Genomic DNA, 15,991 nt, shown 5'->3' on the forward strand with positions numbered 1-15,991 from the left:
GGGGTTTCACCATGTTGGCCAGGCTGTTCTCCAACTCCTGACCTCAAGTGATCCACCTGCCTTGGCCTCCCAAAGTGCTGGGATTACAGGCATGAGCCACCACACCTGGTCTCATTTTAAAATTTTTTAAATGTTTATTTTTTTTGAGACAGATTCTCGCTTTGTTTCCTGGACTGGGGTGCAGTGGTGTGATCATGGCTAACTGCAGCTTTGATCTCCCAGGCTCAGGCAATTCTCCCACCTCAGCCTTTGGAGTAGCTGAGACTACAGGTGTACGACAACGACTGGCTAATGCTTTTATTTTTGATTTTTTTTTTTTTTTTGTAGAGATGGTATATCACTATGTTGCCCAGGTTGGTGTCAAATTCTTGACCACAAGCAGTCCTCCTGCTTCTGCCTTCCAAAGTGTTGGGATTACAGGTGTGAGCCACCACACATAGCCCCTTTACAGTTTTAAAAATTATTGAGGACAACCATTAATATTTGTGTAGATTATATCTGTTGATATTTACCACTTCAAATTAAAACTGAGGAAGCACACAAGTTATCAGATCCCATTTCATGTAGTGTCTGGAAAACTTCATGGTACTCCCATGAGAGAAAGAGTGAAAAAGAGAAATAATGTCTTAGTATCATTATGAAAACTGCCTTTACCTTTTATACCTACTGAAAGAGAGTTCACTGGACCACACCTTGAGAACTGCTGCTCTAGAACTGGGCATTAGATAAACTGCATTTTCCGCAAACGGACACCTGTTTTTGTCAATAACCTTATGGCATTTTTTAAATTTAGTGCAGCCTGAAGAATCCCCTTGAAATGTGGTTGTATGTCTTTTTCAGCCGTTAATCTTGCAGCTTTGAGATTCCTTAAGATTATCTTGCCCTTTAGTTTTCTGAGGTAAGTTTTTTGGGGACGGCAGTGTACTATTTTCAGAAATGGTTCCCATTTTCAAGATTTTGAAACTAAAGTTTTGCATGAGAATTAATCCATGACCGTAAATTATATCAATAGAATTGGCATTTTTGTTTTGTAAAAGAAAGAAGAGCTCTGTTCTCACAGAAAATATTTAAAATTAGAGACAGTTTGGATTTTGGATTACTGCTTTATAAATGTAACTTTATGTTCTTTGCTGAGTAGAATTTTTTTTCCATAAAAGTCTCCGTTAAGTACATTAGATGTCATGTTGAGAAATGGCAATTGTCACCTGATTTTTGTGAATTAAAATGTAAATGTTTTGCCAAAATTTATAAATATCCACTTCTATTTGGGACTTCTAACTTATTAATCAGTTGTCTTTTTACACATTGCAAAATGAAACAAATTGCTCTGAGTCCTAAAAAAAGGTTAGTTCTGTAACATTTATAAATATCGAGATTCATGAGAATTTAACCTTTTCTAAAAATGTAGAGGAAGTATGATTGGTCAAGCTTTTTGTTATAATAATTTTTTCTTATCTTCAGGGCAGTAGGATTCTTTTAATTCTAATTTTACAGGAAATGTGCTGGAATTTCCTTGTATTAAACACATGTGATTTAGATAAAATTTAGCCTATTGTATATATCATTTACAGTCATATGTGGAATATATATATATAAATGAACAGTAAGTATATTTTAGAGCCTGTGGAGAACATTGATCAGTATTATCATTTTGGGGGTAAGTTTTAAATCCTGATGGAAAGAATGCAATAATTTACTATAAGTAGTGATTGATTTATTCATATACTGTCATTTATTCTTCCTATAATTACATTGGATTCCATTAAATTATTCCATCATAATAAAGTTATTTTCTAGGTGGTACTTTTTTGCCATTCAAAACCTATTTTCCTGATGTCTATTTTTATGTAAAACCATATTTTAGAAATTTTATGTTAAAAGCTTCAGCTTAACTACTTTCTCTGAAACCTTGAAAGATGATATACGTCTTCAGAAATATACTAACAACAGTTGATAATAAATCAGGTTTTGTATTGATCTAATCATAAGTGTGCTTAAACTTGTGTTTGATCTGTTAAAACAGATCTAGCTGGGCGTGGTGGTACATACCTGTAATCCCAGCTACTCGGGAGGCTGAGGCAGGAGAATCGCTTGAACCCGGGAGGTGGAGGTTGCGGTGAGCCGAGATCCCACCATTGCACTCCAGCCTGGGCAACAAGAGCGAAACTCCTTCTCAAAAAAAAAAAAAAAAGAAAAAGAAAAAAAAGAAAACTGAGATCCTAATTTTTTTTAAGGAGGATGTGTTACTTAGATTTTCCAGTTGAAACATTGTCTGCTAGCCATTTAGTTAGGGAAATATTTTATCTCTAGTTTTCCCTATTTCCCTCTTTGCGTTACATTTCTATTAAGAGCCTCAAGTCATGAGGATCAGAGGGCCAGAAACATTAGTTAATGTTGTTTTCTCTGCCTCTAAATGATAATAGATGTGGAGAGAAATTGGCGTAGAGATATGATTTAGGCATTTATGGTTTTTCTGAGCAAAATGGAAAAATAGGAAAATAGAGGAATTAGAACTGCATTTTGATACAACTTTTTCTGACCTTTAGAAATTTACTTGTTTCCCATATGGGTAAACCTTTTTTCCAGGGCTGAATAATTTTAATTCCACCAGAGAAATTACCACACAGTCCATAAAGACATGTAGCATCCTAATTTTCAAACTGTGATTGTTTGCTAAATTAGTTTCTAGTCTGTTTTTTTTTTTTTTTTTTTTAACCTAGATGTGGTATTCCAAGGAAAGTCTTTTTTGGACTTACCGTGGGGATGATATTTAAAGTAGTAGTGCTCATTGGAGCTTGCAACTTTTCTTTTGGGGGTACAAGGAAGATCCTCAGTGTAATAAATTATCAGTTCATGTTCCTCTTTTTGAACCACCTTAACAAGAGATACAGCGGAAAGGAAAAGGCATTGACCATTTATTGAGTGTCTAGTTTGTGCCAGGAACATTCTTGCCATATATTGTTAATTCTTATAACCTCCTGAAGTAGATATTATTTTTATCGCCATTTTGCAGATAAAGAAATTACAGCTTCGAGGTTCAGTAGGGAATAAGCGAGAGGTGAGAAAGAAACTTAGGAATGTTTGATTTCAAGTCAACTTTGAAGCATGGCTAGTAGTATGAAAATCTGGGCAGATTTTTGTTTGCTTACTCTGGTACTGTAAAACCAGATGAGTTTTCTTTAGGATGTTTTCAGTTTTATTTGCCAGCCATTTGTCAGCCCCAGACCTATTTTATTTGGTTTTATAACACAGAGAAGCAAAATACAGAACTTAGAAATACTAGAATTCTAAAGAGAAATGATACTATATTCTTGTTGATGTTTGCATTCTTTTCTGATTGTTTTACAAATCTGCCGCAATTTTAGATGTTATACACAAAGTATATTGGAAGAATTATTAATTGTGACCTTCAAGTGTATTCAAGTGTCAGTTACAAATTGCTGTTGAAATGATGGCTCCAAATGTTACTTTTGGATATTGGTTGAGTTTAAAAGAATATAAAAATATAAAAAATAATAAAACATATTTATGAAAAATATATATTGTGTATTGTATGAAACTAATTTATTAAATTTATTTCTGAATATTGTTAGGTTCATAAATAAAAATGTATGGACCCAAGTGCCATCTTTTATTATATGTAATGTTAAGCACAATCTATTAAATATGCAAGAATCATTTTCTTAACTTACTTAAAGTTTAAATCTATAATGCAGAAGGTTTAAATGCAAACAAGCAGACCCTCTTCTGAAATTTTATCTTTTAAATATTAGTTTATTAATACGTCTTCCTATACTTTTTCTTTTTGAGACAGGGTCTTGTGCTGTCCCCCAGGCTGAAGTGCAGTGGCGAGATAATAGCTTGCTGCAGCATTGAATTCCTGGGCTCAAGTGATCTTCCCGCCTTAGCCACCTGAGTACCTGGGACTAAGGGCATGCATCACCACGCCCAGCTAATTTTAAAATATTTTGTAGAGACAGGATCTCACTGTGTTGCCCAGGCTGGTCTCAAACTCCTGGCCTCAAGTGATCCTCCTGCTTCAACCTCCCACTGTATTTGGGATTACCGGTGTGAGCCACTGTGCCCATCCTCTCTTTTTATAGTATCACTAGCTAGATGTATTTATTACCAGTTTACACTGGATATTTCTTGATAGAGACCTACTTAATAGAGTTCTCTGACCCTTCTAGCAGCTAGTCAATCTGGATCCTTTTTTAGATTATTTTCTGTATCTCTGTGTATTCATATACCTACGCAGGCTCTCATGGATCTGTCTTACAGTAGTTTGATAATGCTGGAATTTCTGAATTTCCCGGTACTTAAGGAGTATAGAGTCCTTAAGTGTGCCATCACATACATACTTGCTTATATGTTATTTTGAATTGATTTTTTCCTATTTTGTATATGTGCGTCTTGTCTTCTCTAGGTAGGATTATAAGCTCCTAAAGTGTAAGAATCATGTCTTGTGCTTTTAAAACACATGTATAGGATCAATGATTACTTTGATTACTTGTGGATTCATTTTTCGTTTTTCCTAGTTTAAGGGGCAAAGCAGAATAGCAAAGCAGATCAACAGTAGTTAGTTGCATGCGTGCTTTTTCATATCCTAGAGGAGAGAGAATACGAAGCTTGCAGAGAAGTGAAAAATTAAATAAGAGGGTGCTTACAGGGTTCTTTGATAAAGAGGTCAAGTATATATTTCTCAAATATAATGTACTTTGAAGTTAATAAAAGAATGGAAAATGGGGCATACATTTGGAAATGCATATAATAATGTTTAAGTAATAAAGAATTTTAGTGATTAAGTTTTTTTTTTACTTTAAATGTGATTTTCTGATATATGTTAATATTTTAATATTAGGACTCGCTGATTCTTGAGAAGAGTCAAAACTGGAGCTCTCAAAAAATGGACCATATTCTGATTTGCTGTGTTTGTCTGGGAGATAATAGTGAGGACGCTGATGAAATAATTCAGTGTGACAATTGTGGCATTACAGTCCATGAAGGTAATGTTGCTTTCTTTTCTCTCTTTTTAGAAATGGCTGACTGTGGCTCTTTTACATTTGTACTAAGGTGGTTCTACAATATTTCATGGTGTTTCGGTTGAAATAATGCTAAATCATCAAAGTATGGATGCTATTTTTCAGGTTATCTTTTCTTTTATTTTGAGATGGAGTCTCACTGTGTCGCCCAGGCTGGAGTGCAGTGGCACAATCTCGGTTCACTGCAACCTCCACCTCCCAGGTTCAAGCGATTCTGCTGCCTCAGCCTCCTGGGTAGCTGGGACTACAGGCGCCCACCACCACACCTAATTTTTGTGTTCTTTTTTATTTTATTTTTATTTATTTATTATTTTTGAGATGATGTCTCGCACTGTTGCCCAGGCTGGAGTGCAGTGGTGCTATCTTAGCTCACTTCATCCTCCGCCTCCTGGGTTCAAACTATTCTGCCTCAGCCTCTTAAGTAGCTGGGATTACAGGCACGAGCCACCATGCCTGGCTAATTTTTGTATTTTTAGTAGAGATGGAGTTTCACCATATTGGTCAGGCTGGTCTTGAACTCCTGACCTCGTGATCCACCCGCCTTGGCCACCCAAGGTGTTGGATTACAGGCGTGAACTACCGCGCCCGGCCAATTTTTGTGTTCTTAGTAGAGATGGGGTTTCACCATATTGGCCAGGCTGGTCTCAAACTCCTGACTTTAAGTGATCCGCCTGCCTCAGCCTCCCAAAGTGCTGGGATTACAGGCGTAAGCCACCGCACCTGGTCCCCCAGTCATCTTAATTAAAAAAAAAATTTTAAATAATGAAAATAGAAATGCTATATGAAAATCAGTGTTTCTTTAAAGGTCGGTGTTCTGGTATTGTATTTTATGGTACTGTTTCTTGTTTGTTTTTTTTTAATTTTTTAATTTTTTAATTTTTTTTTTTTTTTTTTGGTAGAGACAGGGTTTTGCTATGTTGCCCAGGCTGATCTTGAACTCCTGGCCTCAAGCAATCTGCCTGCCTCGGCCTCTCAAAGTGCTGAGATTACAGGCATGAACCAGTGTGCCAGGCCTTATTTCCAGTTTTTTTTTTTTAATTTTAAATTTTTAAAAATTATTTCTAGTTTTTAAATAAAATTCAGAAGTAGGAAAAAGTTGACTATTTTAGTCTGATAGAAAACATTCTTAAAAAATTTATATTCTATCAATTTTTTGTAGCTTCTTCTTTCATAGTTGTATTTTTATTTTTGAGACAGAGTCTTGCTCTTGTCCAGGCTGGAGTGCAGCGACACAATCTCAGGTCACTGCAACCTCTGCCTCCCAGGTTCAAGCGATTCTCCTGCCTCAGCCTCCCGAGTAGCTGGGATTACAGGTGCCTGCCACCATGCCTGGCTAATTTTTGTATTTTTAGTAGAGATGGGGTTTCACCATGTTGGCCAGGCTGGTCTCGATTTCCTGGCCTCAAGTGATCCACCCGACTCAGCTTCCCAAAGTGCTGGGATTACAGGCATGAGCCACCGTGCCTGGCTGACAGTATGTATTTGTTAAGAGCAAAGGGCCGGGTGCAGTGGCTCACGCCTGTAATCCCAGCACTTTGGGAGGCCGAGGCGGGCGGATCACCTGAGGTCAGGAGTTTGAGACCAGCCTGGCCAACATGGCGAAACCCCATCTCTACTAAAAATACAAAAATTAGCCGGGCGTGGTGGCTTATACCTGTAATCCCAGTTACTCGAGAGGCTGAGGCAGGAGAATCACTGGAACCCAGGAGGTGGAGGTTGCAGTGAGCCGAGATGGTGCCACTGTACTCCAGCCTGGGCGACAGAGGAAGACTGTCTCAAAATTTAAACAAACAAACAAAAAAAGGCATTCTCTTACATAACCACATAATTATCAAAGTCAGGAAGTTAGCATTGATGAAATGCTGTTTTATCTAATTTATATAGATTGTATTCAGATGTTGCCAATTGTCCCAACAATGTCATTTCTAACAAAATCAAAGCCAGGATCATGTATTGCATTTAATCGTCATGTCTGTTTAGTCACCTTTAATGTAGAACAGTCCTTGAGTTTCTGTCTCATAGACATTTTTAAATATATAGTCCAGTTTTTTTTATTTTGGTTTGTTTTTACAGAATGTTCCTAATATGATTAGATTTGGGTTATATGCTTTTGGCCGGAATACCACGGAAGTTATATAGTGTTCTTAGTGCATCGTATTAGGAAGCATATGATATTTATTTGTGCAGTTACTGGTGATATTACTATTACTTTTTTTCTCATTTTTATTGCATAAGCCTACCAATTTAGAATACTGGTGATATTTTGATCACTTGGTTGAGAGGGTGTCTTTCTGGTTTATCTGTGGTAAAGTTATTTTTTCTTACCAATTAATTATTATTATTATTATTATTTTTTAATCAGGGCTGTGACTACCACAAAACAGTATTTCTATGGCCTTTCTCTTACCTGCTTTTCTGGTATTACAGCCCTTGTCCCAAGTAATTCTGGGAGTCTGCTGGACTTGTGGGACTTTGCATGATCTGTGATTCTCTAGCTAATGCTCTGATCTTCATGTGGAGCTGCCCTTTTTTTGCTGCTAACACTCACTGTGGGAATATCTCCAGTTACTGTTATTCATTTATATTTTTAGTAATGTTTGTTGAGTACCTTCTATGTGCTTGGTATTCTGTAAATTTTAGGCATATGAAATAGAATGTACACATTGTTGACCTGGTGGAACTTAATGTCTGGACAGACAGGCAGTAAACAAACCAATAAATATCTCTTAGTTGGTGGCCCAGATTCTGAAGAAAAATGAAGTAGGACAAGGAGTATAGGAATGCTGTGTGTGAGGGTGGTTGGGTGAGTTGCAGAAGTTTGTATTTGTAAAAATTGATAAGGGGCTGGGTACGGTGGCTCATGCCTGTAAATCCCAGCACTTTGGGAGGCCAAGGCAAGCGGATCACCTGAGGTCAGGAGTTTGATATCAGCCTGGCCAAAATGGTGAAACGACGTCTCTGCTAAAAGTACAAAAATTAATCCGGCATGGTGGCACGTGCCTGTAATCCCAGCTACTCTGGAGGCTAAGGCAGGAGATTTGCTGGAACCTAGGAGGTGGAGGCTGCAGTGAGCCAAGATTGCGCCAGTGCACTTTGGCCTGGGTGACAGAGGGTGACTCTGTCTCAAAAAAAAAAAAAAAAAAGTTGTTAAGGGAAATCCACTCTGATAAGAGGATATTTGAGCAGTGACCTGAAGGAAGTAAAGGAGCAAGTCACTTAAATATATTGGGAACGAGCACTGCAAGTGGAGGGAGTAGTGAATGTAAAGATCTCAGCCAAGCACAATGGCCCACGCCTGTAATCCCAGCACTTTGGGAGGCCGAGGCAGTGAATCACTTGAGGTCAGAAGTTCAAGGCCAGCCTGTCCAACATGGTGAAACCCCATCTCTACTAAAAATACAAAAAATTAGCTGGGCATGGTGGCATGTGCCTGTAGTCCTAGTTACTCAGGAGTCTGAGGCAGGAGAATGGCTTGAACCCAGGAGGCAGAGGTTGCAGTGAGCTGAGGTCGAGCCACTGCACTCCAGTCTGGGCAACAGAGTGAGACTCCGTCTCAAAAAAAAAGATCTTGAAGTGGTAGCATGCTTAAGAGTGTTTGTATAATGGCACAGAAGTTTGTATGGCTAGAACTGGGTGAGCAAGCTGGTTAGTGGTGGGAGTAGAGATGGGAGTAATCCAGCTGGGGTCTTGCAGATTCCGGTACTGATTTTAGATTTTATTATTGTGTCCGGAATTGGTGGGTTCTTGGTTTCACTAACTTCAAGAATGAAGCTGTGGATCCTCGCGGTGAGTGTTAACAGTTTTTAAAGGCGGCGTGTCCGGAGTTTGCTCCTTCTGATGTTCGGATGTGTTCGGAGTTTCTTCTTTCTGGTGGGTTCGTGGTCTCGCTGGCTCAGGAGTGAAGCTGCAGACCTTCGCGGTGAGTGTTACAGCTCATAAAGGCAGCGCGTACCCGAAGAGTGAGCAGCAGCAAGATTTATTGCAAAGAGCGAAAGAACAAAGCTTCCACAGTGTGGAAGGGGACCCGAGCGGGTTGCCATTGCTGGCTGGGGCAGCTTGCTCTTATCCCCTTCTCTGGCCCCACCCACATCCTGCTGATAGGTCCATTTTACAGAGAGCTGATTGGTCTGTTTTGACAGGGTGCTGATTGGTGTGTTTACAATCCCTGAGATAGACACAAAAGTTCTCCAAGTCCGCACAGAGCACTGATTGGTGCATTTACAAACCTTGAGCTAGACACAGGGTGCAGATTGGTGTGTTACAAACCTTGAGCTAGACACAGAGTGCTGATTGGTGTATTTACAATCCCTTAGCTAGACATAAAGGTTCTCCAAGTCCCCACCAGATTAGCTAGATACAGAGTGCTGATTGGTATATTTACAATCCCTTAGCTAGACATAAAGGTTCTCCAAGTCCCCACCAGATTAGCTAGATACAGAGTGCTGATTGGTGCATTTACAAGCCTTGCGCTAGACACAGAGTGCTGATTGGTGTATTTACAAACCTTGAGCTAGACACAGAGTGCTGATTGGTGTATTTACAATCCCTTAGCTAGACATAAAGGTTCTCCAAGTCCCCACTAGACTCGGGAGCCTAGCTGGCTTCACCCAGTGGATCCCGCACCAGGGCCACATGTGGAGCTGCCCGCCAGTCCCATGCCGTGTGCCCGCATTCCTCAGCCCTTGGGTGGTCGATGGGACCGCGCCACAGAGCGGGGGCAGCACTCATAAGGGAGGCTCAGGCCACGCAGGAGCCCATGGCGGGGTGGGTAAGGCTCAGGCATGGTGGGCTGCAGGTTCCGAGCCCTGCCCCGCAGGGAGGCAGCTGAGGCCCGGCGAGAATTTGAGAGCAGCGCCGGCGGGCCAGCACTGCTGGGGGACCCGGTGCACCCTCCACAGCTGCTGGCCCAGGTGCTAAGCCCCTCACTGCCCGGGGCTGGCAGTGCCCGCCAAGCCCATGCCCACCCGGAACTCGCGCTGGCCCGCAAGCGCCTTGCACAGCCCCGGTTCCCACCCGTGCCTCTCCCTCCACACCTCCCCGCAAGCTGAGGGAGCTGGCTCCACCCTCGGCCAGCCCAGAGAGGGGCTCCCACAGTGCAGCTGCAGGCTGAAGGCTCCTCAAGTGCGGCCAGAGTGGGCGCCAAGGCCGAGGAGGTGCCAAGAGTGAGCGAGGGCTGTGAGGGCTGCCAGCACGCTGTCACCTATCATTATGATGGATGTGGGAAGCCATAACATGGCTTTTCAGCAGAGGATTAATATGGTTTGATTCATGTTTTGGAAGGATCACTCAGACTGCTGGGTTGGGAGTAGACTGAAGTGAATCTAAGGTGGGAAACTAGGAAAATATTTAGGAGACCATTGCAATTATCTAAGAGAGGAATTGGTTTTGAGGTAGATAGTAAAAGTTTGGTTTTAAACTCTGTTTATGTAAGATGTTAGGACTAGAAATTTAAATTTGGGACTTATCAGCCTGAAGATGTTATGCAAAGATGTAAGACTAAATGCTTGTAACAAAGTCATCCTAGTACTTTAGAGGAGATGGGGAACACATGGCCAGTGAGATATGAGGACCATGGGTGATGACCCAGAGAAAACTGTTTCAAAAAGAGAGTCAGTAAATGTGTCAAATAATGTTTTTAAGAGTGGGAAATCACCCTAATTCAATGCTGGACTTCAAGTACACCACCAGGCAAGCTATCCCAGAGGTTATTGAAAAAAAAAACTAATTGATAAAATGTTTATATCACATGATTCATTAAATAAATATAAAATACACAGAAGCAAGGGGAAAGATAGAGGATAAGTTAACTCATTTAGGCTGGGGTTTAAGTAGGATAGAAGGACCACACTACCTAAATAAATCCTGGGGTACATAGTGTTGATATGTTTTGGCTTATCAACCTTCTTTGCTAATGCTGCGGTTGTGAGAACCAGAGCCCACAAGATAGGTGCCCAGGGCCAAAGATAGGCACACTCTCAGGAACATACAGGAGCAAGTATGCCTGGTCATGGCGTTAGCTCTCCAGTTAATCTACTCAACAGCCGTAGGTTTTATTTTTATTTGTTAGTGGACAGAGTAGGTATCACCAATGGGTGGCCAAATTAAGGCCTCAGGAATATTGAGTTCTAAGTGTCGCATATATGTTTAATGTATTCTGACTCTTTGGTGCCTTTTGCATATTTGCCTCAAGAATATTAGATACATCTTGGTCCTTCTATCCCTTTCTGTCTGTATTTAATGCATACGTGCTTTACTTACTTTTTATCTATACATACACATATAAGTTTTATTGATCTCATTTTGTTTCTCTATAGTAGAGTTTAATATCCTCAAGCAGAGCAAAAAGACATTATTACTGAGAATATATCACTGAATTTAGTAACATGAGGGTCATTGGCCATCTTGACCTGAGAGAGTTCAAAGTGAGAATAAAAGAAGGGAAAGTGCAAAAAGTGACCAAATGCAATTCCTGTGATGAGTTTTTATATAGAGAAGCCAGGAGATGGGACAAGGGATGTGAAATTGAGGGAGGGTTTTTTTCTTTCTTATTTTAGATGCTGTATTGATTATCTGCTGCAGTGGAACAAATTATCCCAAAACATAGCAGCTTAAAACAACAAACATTTATTATTTCACATGATTTCTAAGGGGTAAGAAGCTGGGAGCAGTTGGTTGGGTTGTTCTGGCTTAGAGTCTCTCATGAAGTTGCAGGTCAAAGCCATAGCCTGGGCTGTAGTCATTTTAAGATTTGGCTGGACCTGGAGGATTTGCTTCTAAGCTAAGTCAAATAGTTGTTGGTAGGCTTCAGTTCTTTGATGGCTGTTGGCCAGAGACCTCAGTTTCCTACTGCATGGACCTCCCTCATAAGCTGCATGAATGTCTTCATGAAGGGCAGCTGGCTTCAGAGTAAGTGATCAAAGAGAGAAAGAGACGGAAGCAGTTGTATCAGAGTGCTAGTATATTTTATAATCTAATATTGGTAGTGCATACAACCATTTCTGCCATATTCCGCTGTTCACACAAGCCAACCCTAGTCAGATGTAGGTGGGGGCATTCTAAGAGTGTAAATACCAGGAGGCACTGATTATTAAGGGCTATCTTAGAGGCTGCCTACCACATGTGCAGAGATTATATAGCATGTTGTGTGCTCATGGAAGTGACCCAGTGGAAAGGGAGAATTGGTGATATAAGGAAAATAGTGAGGAAAGAAGGGGGAACAATTGCTGGAACAAAGGTTTTGAGTGCAAGATTAGAGGGGATGAGATCCAGTACCAAGTAGAGAGATTGAGTAGATAAGAGTAACCATAGTAATTAGGGAAAAAAGGATATATGGGTCCAGATGTAGCTAGGTTGTTAGATGTGGTAGTTGGAGCATGTGTAAGTTATTTTTAAAATGTTTCTTGTTTTCTCAGTGAAATAGGAAGCAAAGCCATTAGCAGAGAGTGGGACAGTGGGGAGTTAGAGATTTGGGGAGGCAGAGTTGTATAAATTTATTTGGGAGAATAAACTGAATAAGGAAACATATACCTAAAATATATATGTATACACACACAGACACATATATGTATATATACACACACATACACAGCAATAAGACCACTTGATATTAGTGGTAATGAATATAAAGAGCTCATTAATATAAATATATTCATATGAATATGATATTAGTGGTAATGAATACTGTTACTGAGAAAAGTAAACATGGTTGAATATATGTGTATTTTTCTTCTCCAGGTGTGGTTCAGATTCCTGGGAGTAGGTAAAGAATATGTTAACTCAGGAGTAGCAGCTACTTTGGCAGTGTTTGTTACATTGATCACTGATGATCACAAACATGTTACTGCTGCTTATATCCATGAATGTCATTGCTGATGTGTGATACAGTCATGATGAGTTCTGTCAGTTTTGGTGATTCTCTTATGATGCTGAGGGCACTATCTCTATTTTTCTCTGCTTCATTATAATGCTGAGTACCATCTCTACTTCTTAAGTCATTCTTAGGTCTACTTCTTAGATTGTGGTCATTGACTATGGATGTATTTTTTTAGGCCAGCACAGTAGTTTTGAGTAATTGAATTGGTTGCTAACATTTAGACATTGGGAAATCGTACACATTTAGGATTTCAAGCTTCTTTTGCAAAGTTCTGGCGGCACTAGGGTTTTTTGCTGTTGTTGTTGTTGTTAAGTGATGGAGTGCCCCAGGCTTGCCTCAAACTCCTGGGCTCAAACAATCTTCTTGTTTCAGCTTCCTGAGTAGCTGTGACTAAAGGCATTAAAGGCATATGCCTGCCCTTGCAGTAGTTTTCACTTTCTTCTAGCACAATCTGCTGGAGCTGAATAAGGCTGCCCCCTGATAGTAAGGCCTGTGGTCTCCAGTTCACTCCAGTCCTCTCTCAAACCACTTACTCATTTTTGTTAGTTGCCTAGTCCCTGGAGATATTTGAATATATAGTTCCTTATCTGCTTTGAGGGTACTGTCTCTTGTTGCTGATATTTGGGCTGCTGATGCCTTGTGGTCTCAATGTCTCACATCTATAATAGTAAAGCAACTCTTTTACTATAGCTTTTACTTTAGGACACAAGCTTGAGTCCACTGGGGACTAGTTCCATGTACATTTCAAAATGACCCTCGCTCTCTATTTTGTTGTTTTTGAGTCATGTTTTGCTCCTTGGACTCTTAACTTAGGATGAGTTCTTTCCCAGTAGATTCATTGTTCAGATAAACATAGATTTCTGTAAGGGCACAACATTAGTTCCACTGACATGCTTACAGCTATTGAAAGTTCATAATACGACCCCTGCTTCAGATGAATAGCCTCGGTACTGGAAAATCTACCTTCTTTCCAAAGTAGCTTTGATTTTCAGAAACATTTAAAAAGTCTGAATCAAGGCAGACAAATGAGATGATCAAGCTGAGTGGTAATGCCAATTAAGTCAACAGGATGTTGTGTCTATATAAAGTCATGTAACAACTCTTCTTGTGTAATTGATTTAACTGACTTTGATGGCAGTCCAAGTTATAAATATTTTTGAGACTTTGCTAATGATAACTCATTTAATTCCTAAAACTAATTCATTAGAATTGGAGACCTATTTTTGTTACAGAGAAGGAAGAAAGTAGAGAAGGAGAGGGAAATTGATGCATAAATAGGGAAGCTGAATAGTCTTTGACCACTTTAGGTGAATCTTTATTTTGTATAATTAATTTATTGGTAGTAATTTGAATTCTGTGAACTTTATATATGTTCCAAGTAAAGATGCAAAAGATGCAAAAAGGTCAAAAATACGTTTTGACTTAAAAAATTACGCTACTACTTTCATCCTCTAGTTTAAATAATTTCCCATTTCCCTTTTTAATTTTGGAGTTTCTGTTGTATGATTGATTTTGTATGTTGTATTATTAGACTTTCTGTTGTATGATGTGGAGTATCTTTTCATATGCTTATTTGCCTTTTTTTTTTTTTTTTTTTTTTTGAGATGGAGTCTTGCTCTGTTGTTCTGGCTGGAGTGCAGTGGTGGGATCTTGGCTCACTGCAACCTCTGTCTCCCAGGTTCCTGCGATTCTCGTGCCTCAGCTTCCTGTGTAGCTGGGATTACAGGCACACACCACTACACCTGACTAATTTTTTATTTTTAGTAGAGATGGGGTTTTGCCATGTTGGCCAGGCTGGTCTCAAACTCCAGACCTCAAGTGATCCACCTGCCTTGGTCTCCCAAAGTGCTGGGATTACAGGCGTGAGCCACCACACCCACCCTTATTTACCTTTTGTATATCTTCTTGGATGAGGTGTCTATTCAGATCTTTTGCCCATTTTTAAAAATTGGTTTGTTTTCTTATTGTTAAGTTTTAAGAGTTCCTTGTATATTTTGGATATCAGTTCTTTATCAGATAGGTCTTTTGCAAATACTTTCTCCCAGTCTGTAGTTTGTCTTTTTATTCTCTTGAAGGTATCTCTCACAGAGCAGAAGTTTTACATTTTAATGGAGTCCAACTTATAAATTATTTCTCTTGTTTATTACGCTTTTGGTCTTGTATCTAAAAAGTCGTTACTATGCCTGAGGTTATCTAGATTTTCTCCCGTGTTATTTTCTAGTTCTATAATTTTTTAATTATAAATTTTCTTAATTAAAAATTTAAAAATTTTTATAAATTTGCATTTCACATTTGGGTCTGAATTTATTTTTGTTACGAGTATACGGTCTGTCTCGGAATTCATTATTTTGCATGTGTGTGTTCAATTTTTCTATCACCATTTGTTAAAAAAGCTGTCTGTGCTCCCTTATATTGCCTTTGCTCCTTTGTCAAAGATCAGTTGACTATATTTCTTTGGGTCTTTTTCTGGGCTCAGTTTGTTCATCAACTGACCTATATATCTATTCTTTGATTAATACCACACTGTCTTGATTACTGCAGCTTCATAGTAAGTCTTGAAGTTGAGTAGTGTTACTCCTTTGACTTGTTTTTTTTCCTTCAATATTATGTTAGCTCTTCTGGGTTTTTTGCCTCTCCATGTAAACTTTAGAGTCAGTTTGCAGTATCTACAAAATTACATCCTGGAATTTTGATTGGGATTTTATTGAATCTATAGATCAAGTTGGGAAGAAATGACATCTTGACAATATTGAGCTTTTTTATTCATGAACATAATAAACATTTATTTATTTAGTTCTTTGATTTCTTTCATCAGAGTTTTGCAGTTTTCTTCATAGAGATCTTGGCAATATTATTTTATTTTTTGGGGGGTGCTAATGTAAATGGAATTTTGTTTTTAATTTCAATTCTACTTGTTCATTGCTTTCATAAGAAAGCAATTGGCTTTTGTATATTAAGTTTGTATGCTGCAGTCTTGCTATAATTGCTTTTTAGTTCCAGGAAATTTTTGGCTACTCTTCCAGATTTTCTACTTAGACAGTCATGTCATCTGAAAGCAAAGATAATTTTATTTCTT

The 15,991-nt window shown here is 39.2% G+C and overlaps 1 protein-coding gene across 4 annotated transcripts in view; it reads left to right on the forward strand.

The window, feature by feature from the left end:
• Window positions 1-15,991, forward strand: part of PHF14 (PHD finger protein 14) — a 195,747-nt gene that overhangs the window by 11,970 nt on the left and 167,786 nt on the right. For all 4 annotated transcript variants that reach the window (NR_033436.2, NR_033435.2, NM_001007157.2 and 1 more), the window contains one exon: window positions 4,862-5,006. Coding sequence is in view for 2 of the 4 variants with exons in the window: in NM_001007157.2 (NP_001007158.1) it covers window positions 4,862-5,006 (145 nt within the window). In the remaining 2 variants the exon portion in view is untranslated. The remainder of the gene's footprint in view (window positions 1-4,861; window positions 5,007-15,991) is intronic.

The sequence above is a fragment of the Homo sapiens genome, chromosome 7, assembly GCF_000001405.40.
Source record: "Homo sapiens chromosome 7, GRCh38.p14 Primary Assembly".
Lineage (NCBI taxonomy): Eukaryota > Metazoa > Chordata > Mammalia > Primates > Hominidae > Homo > Homo sapiens.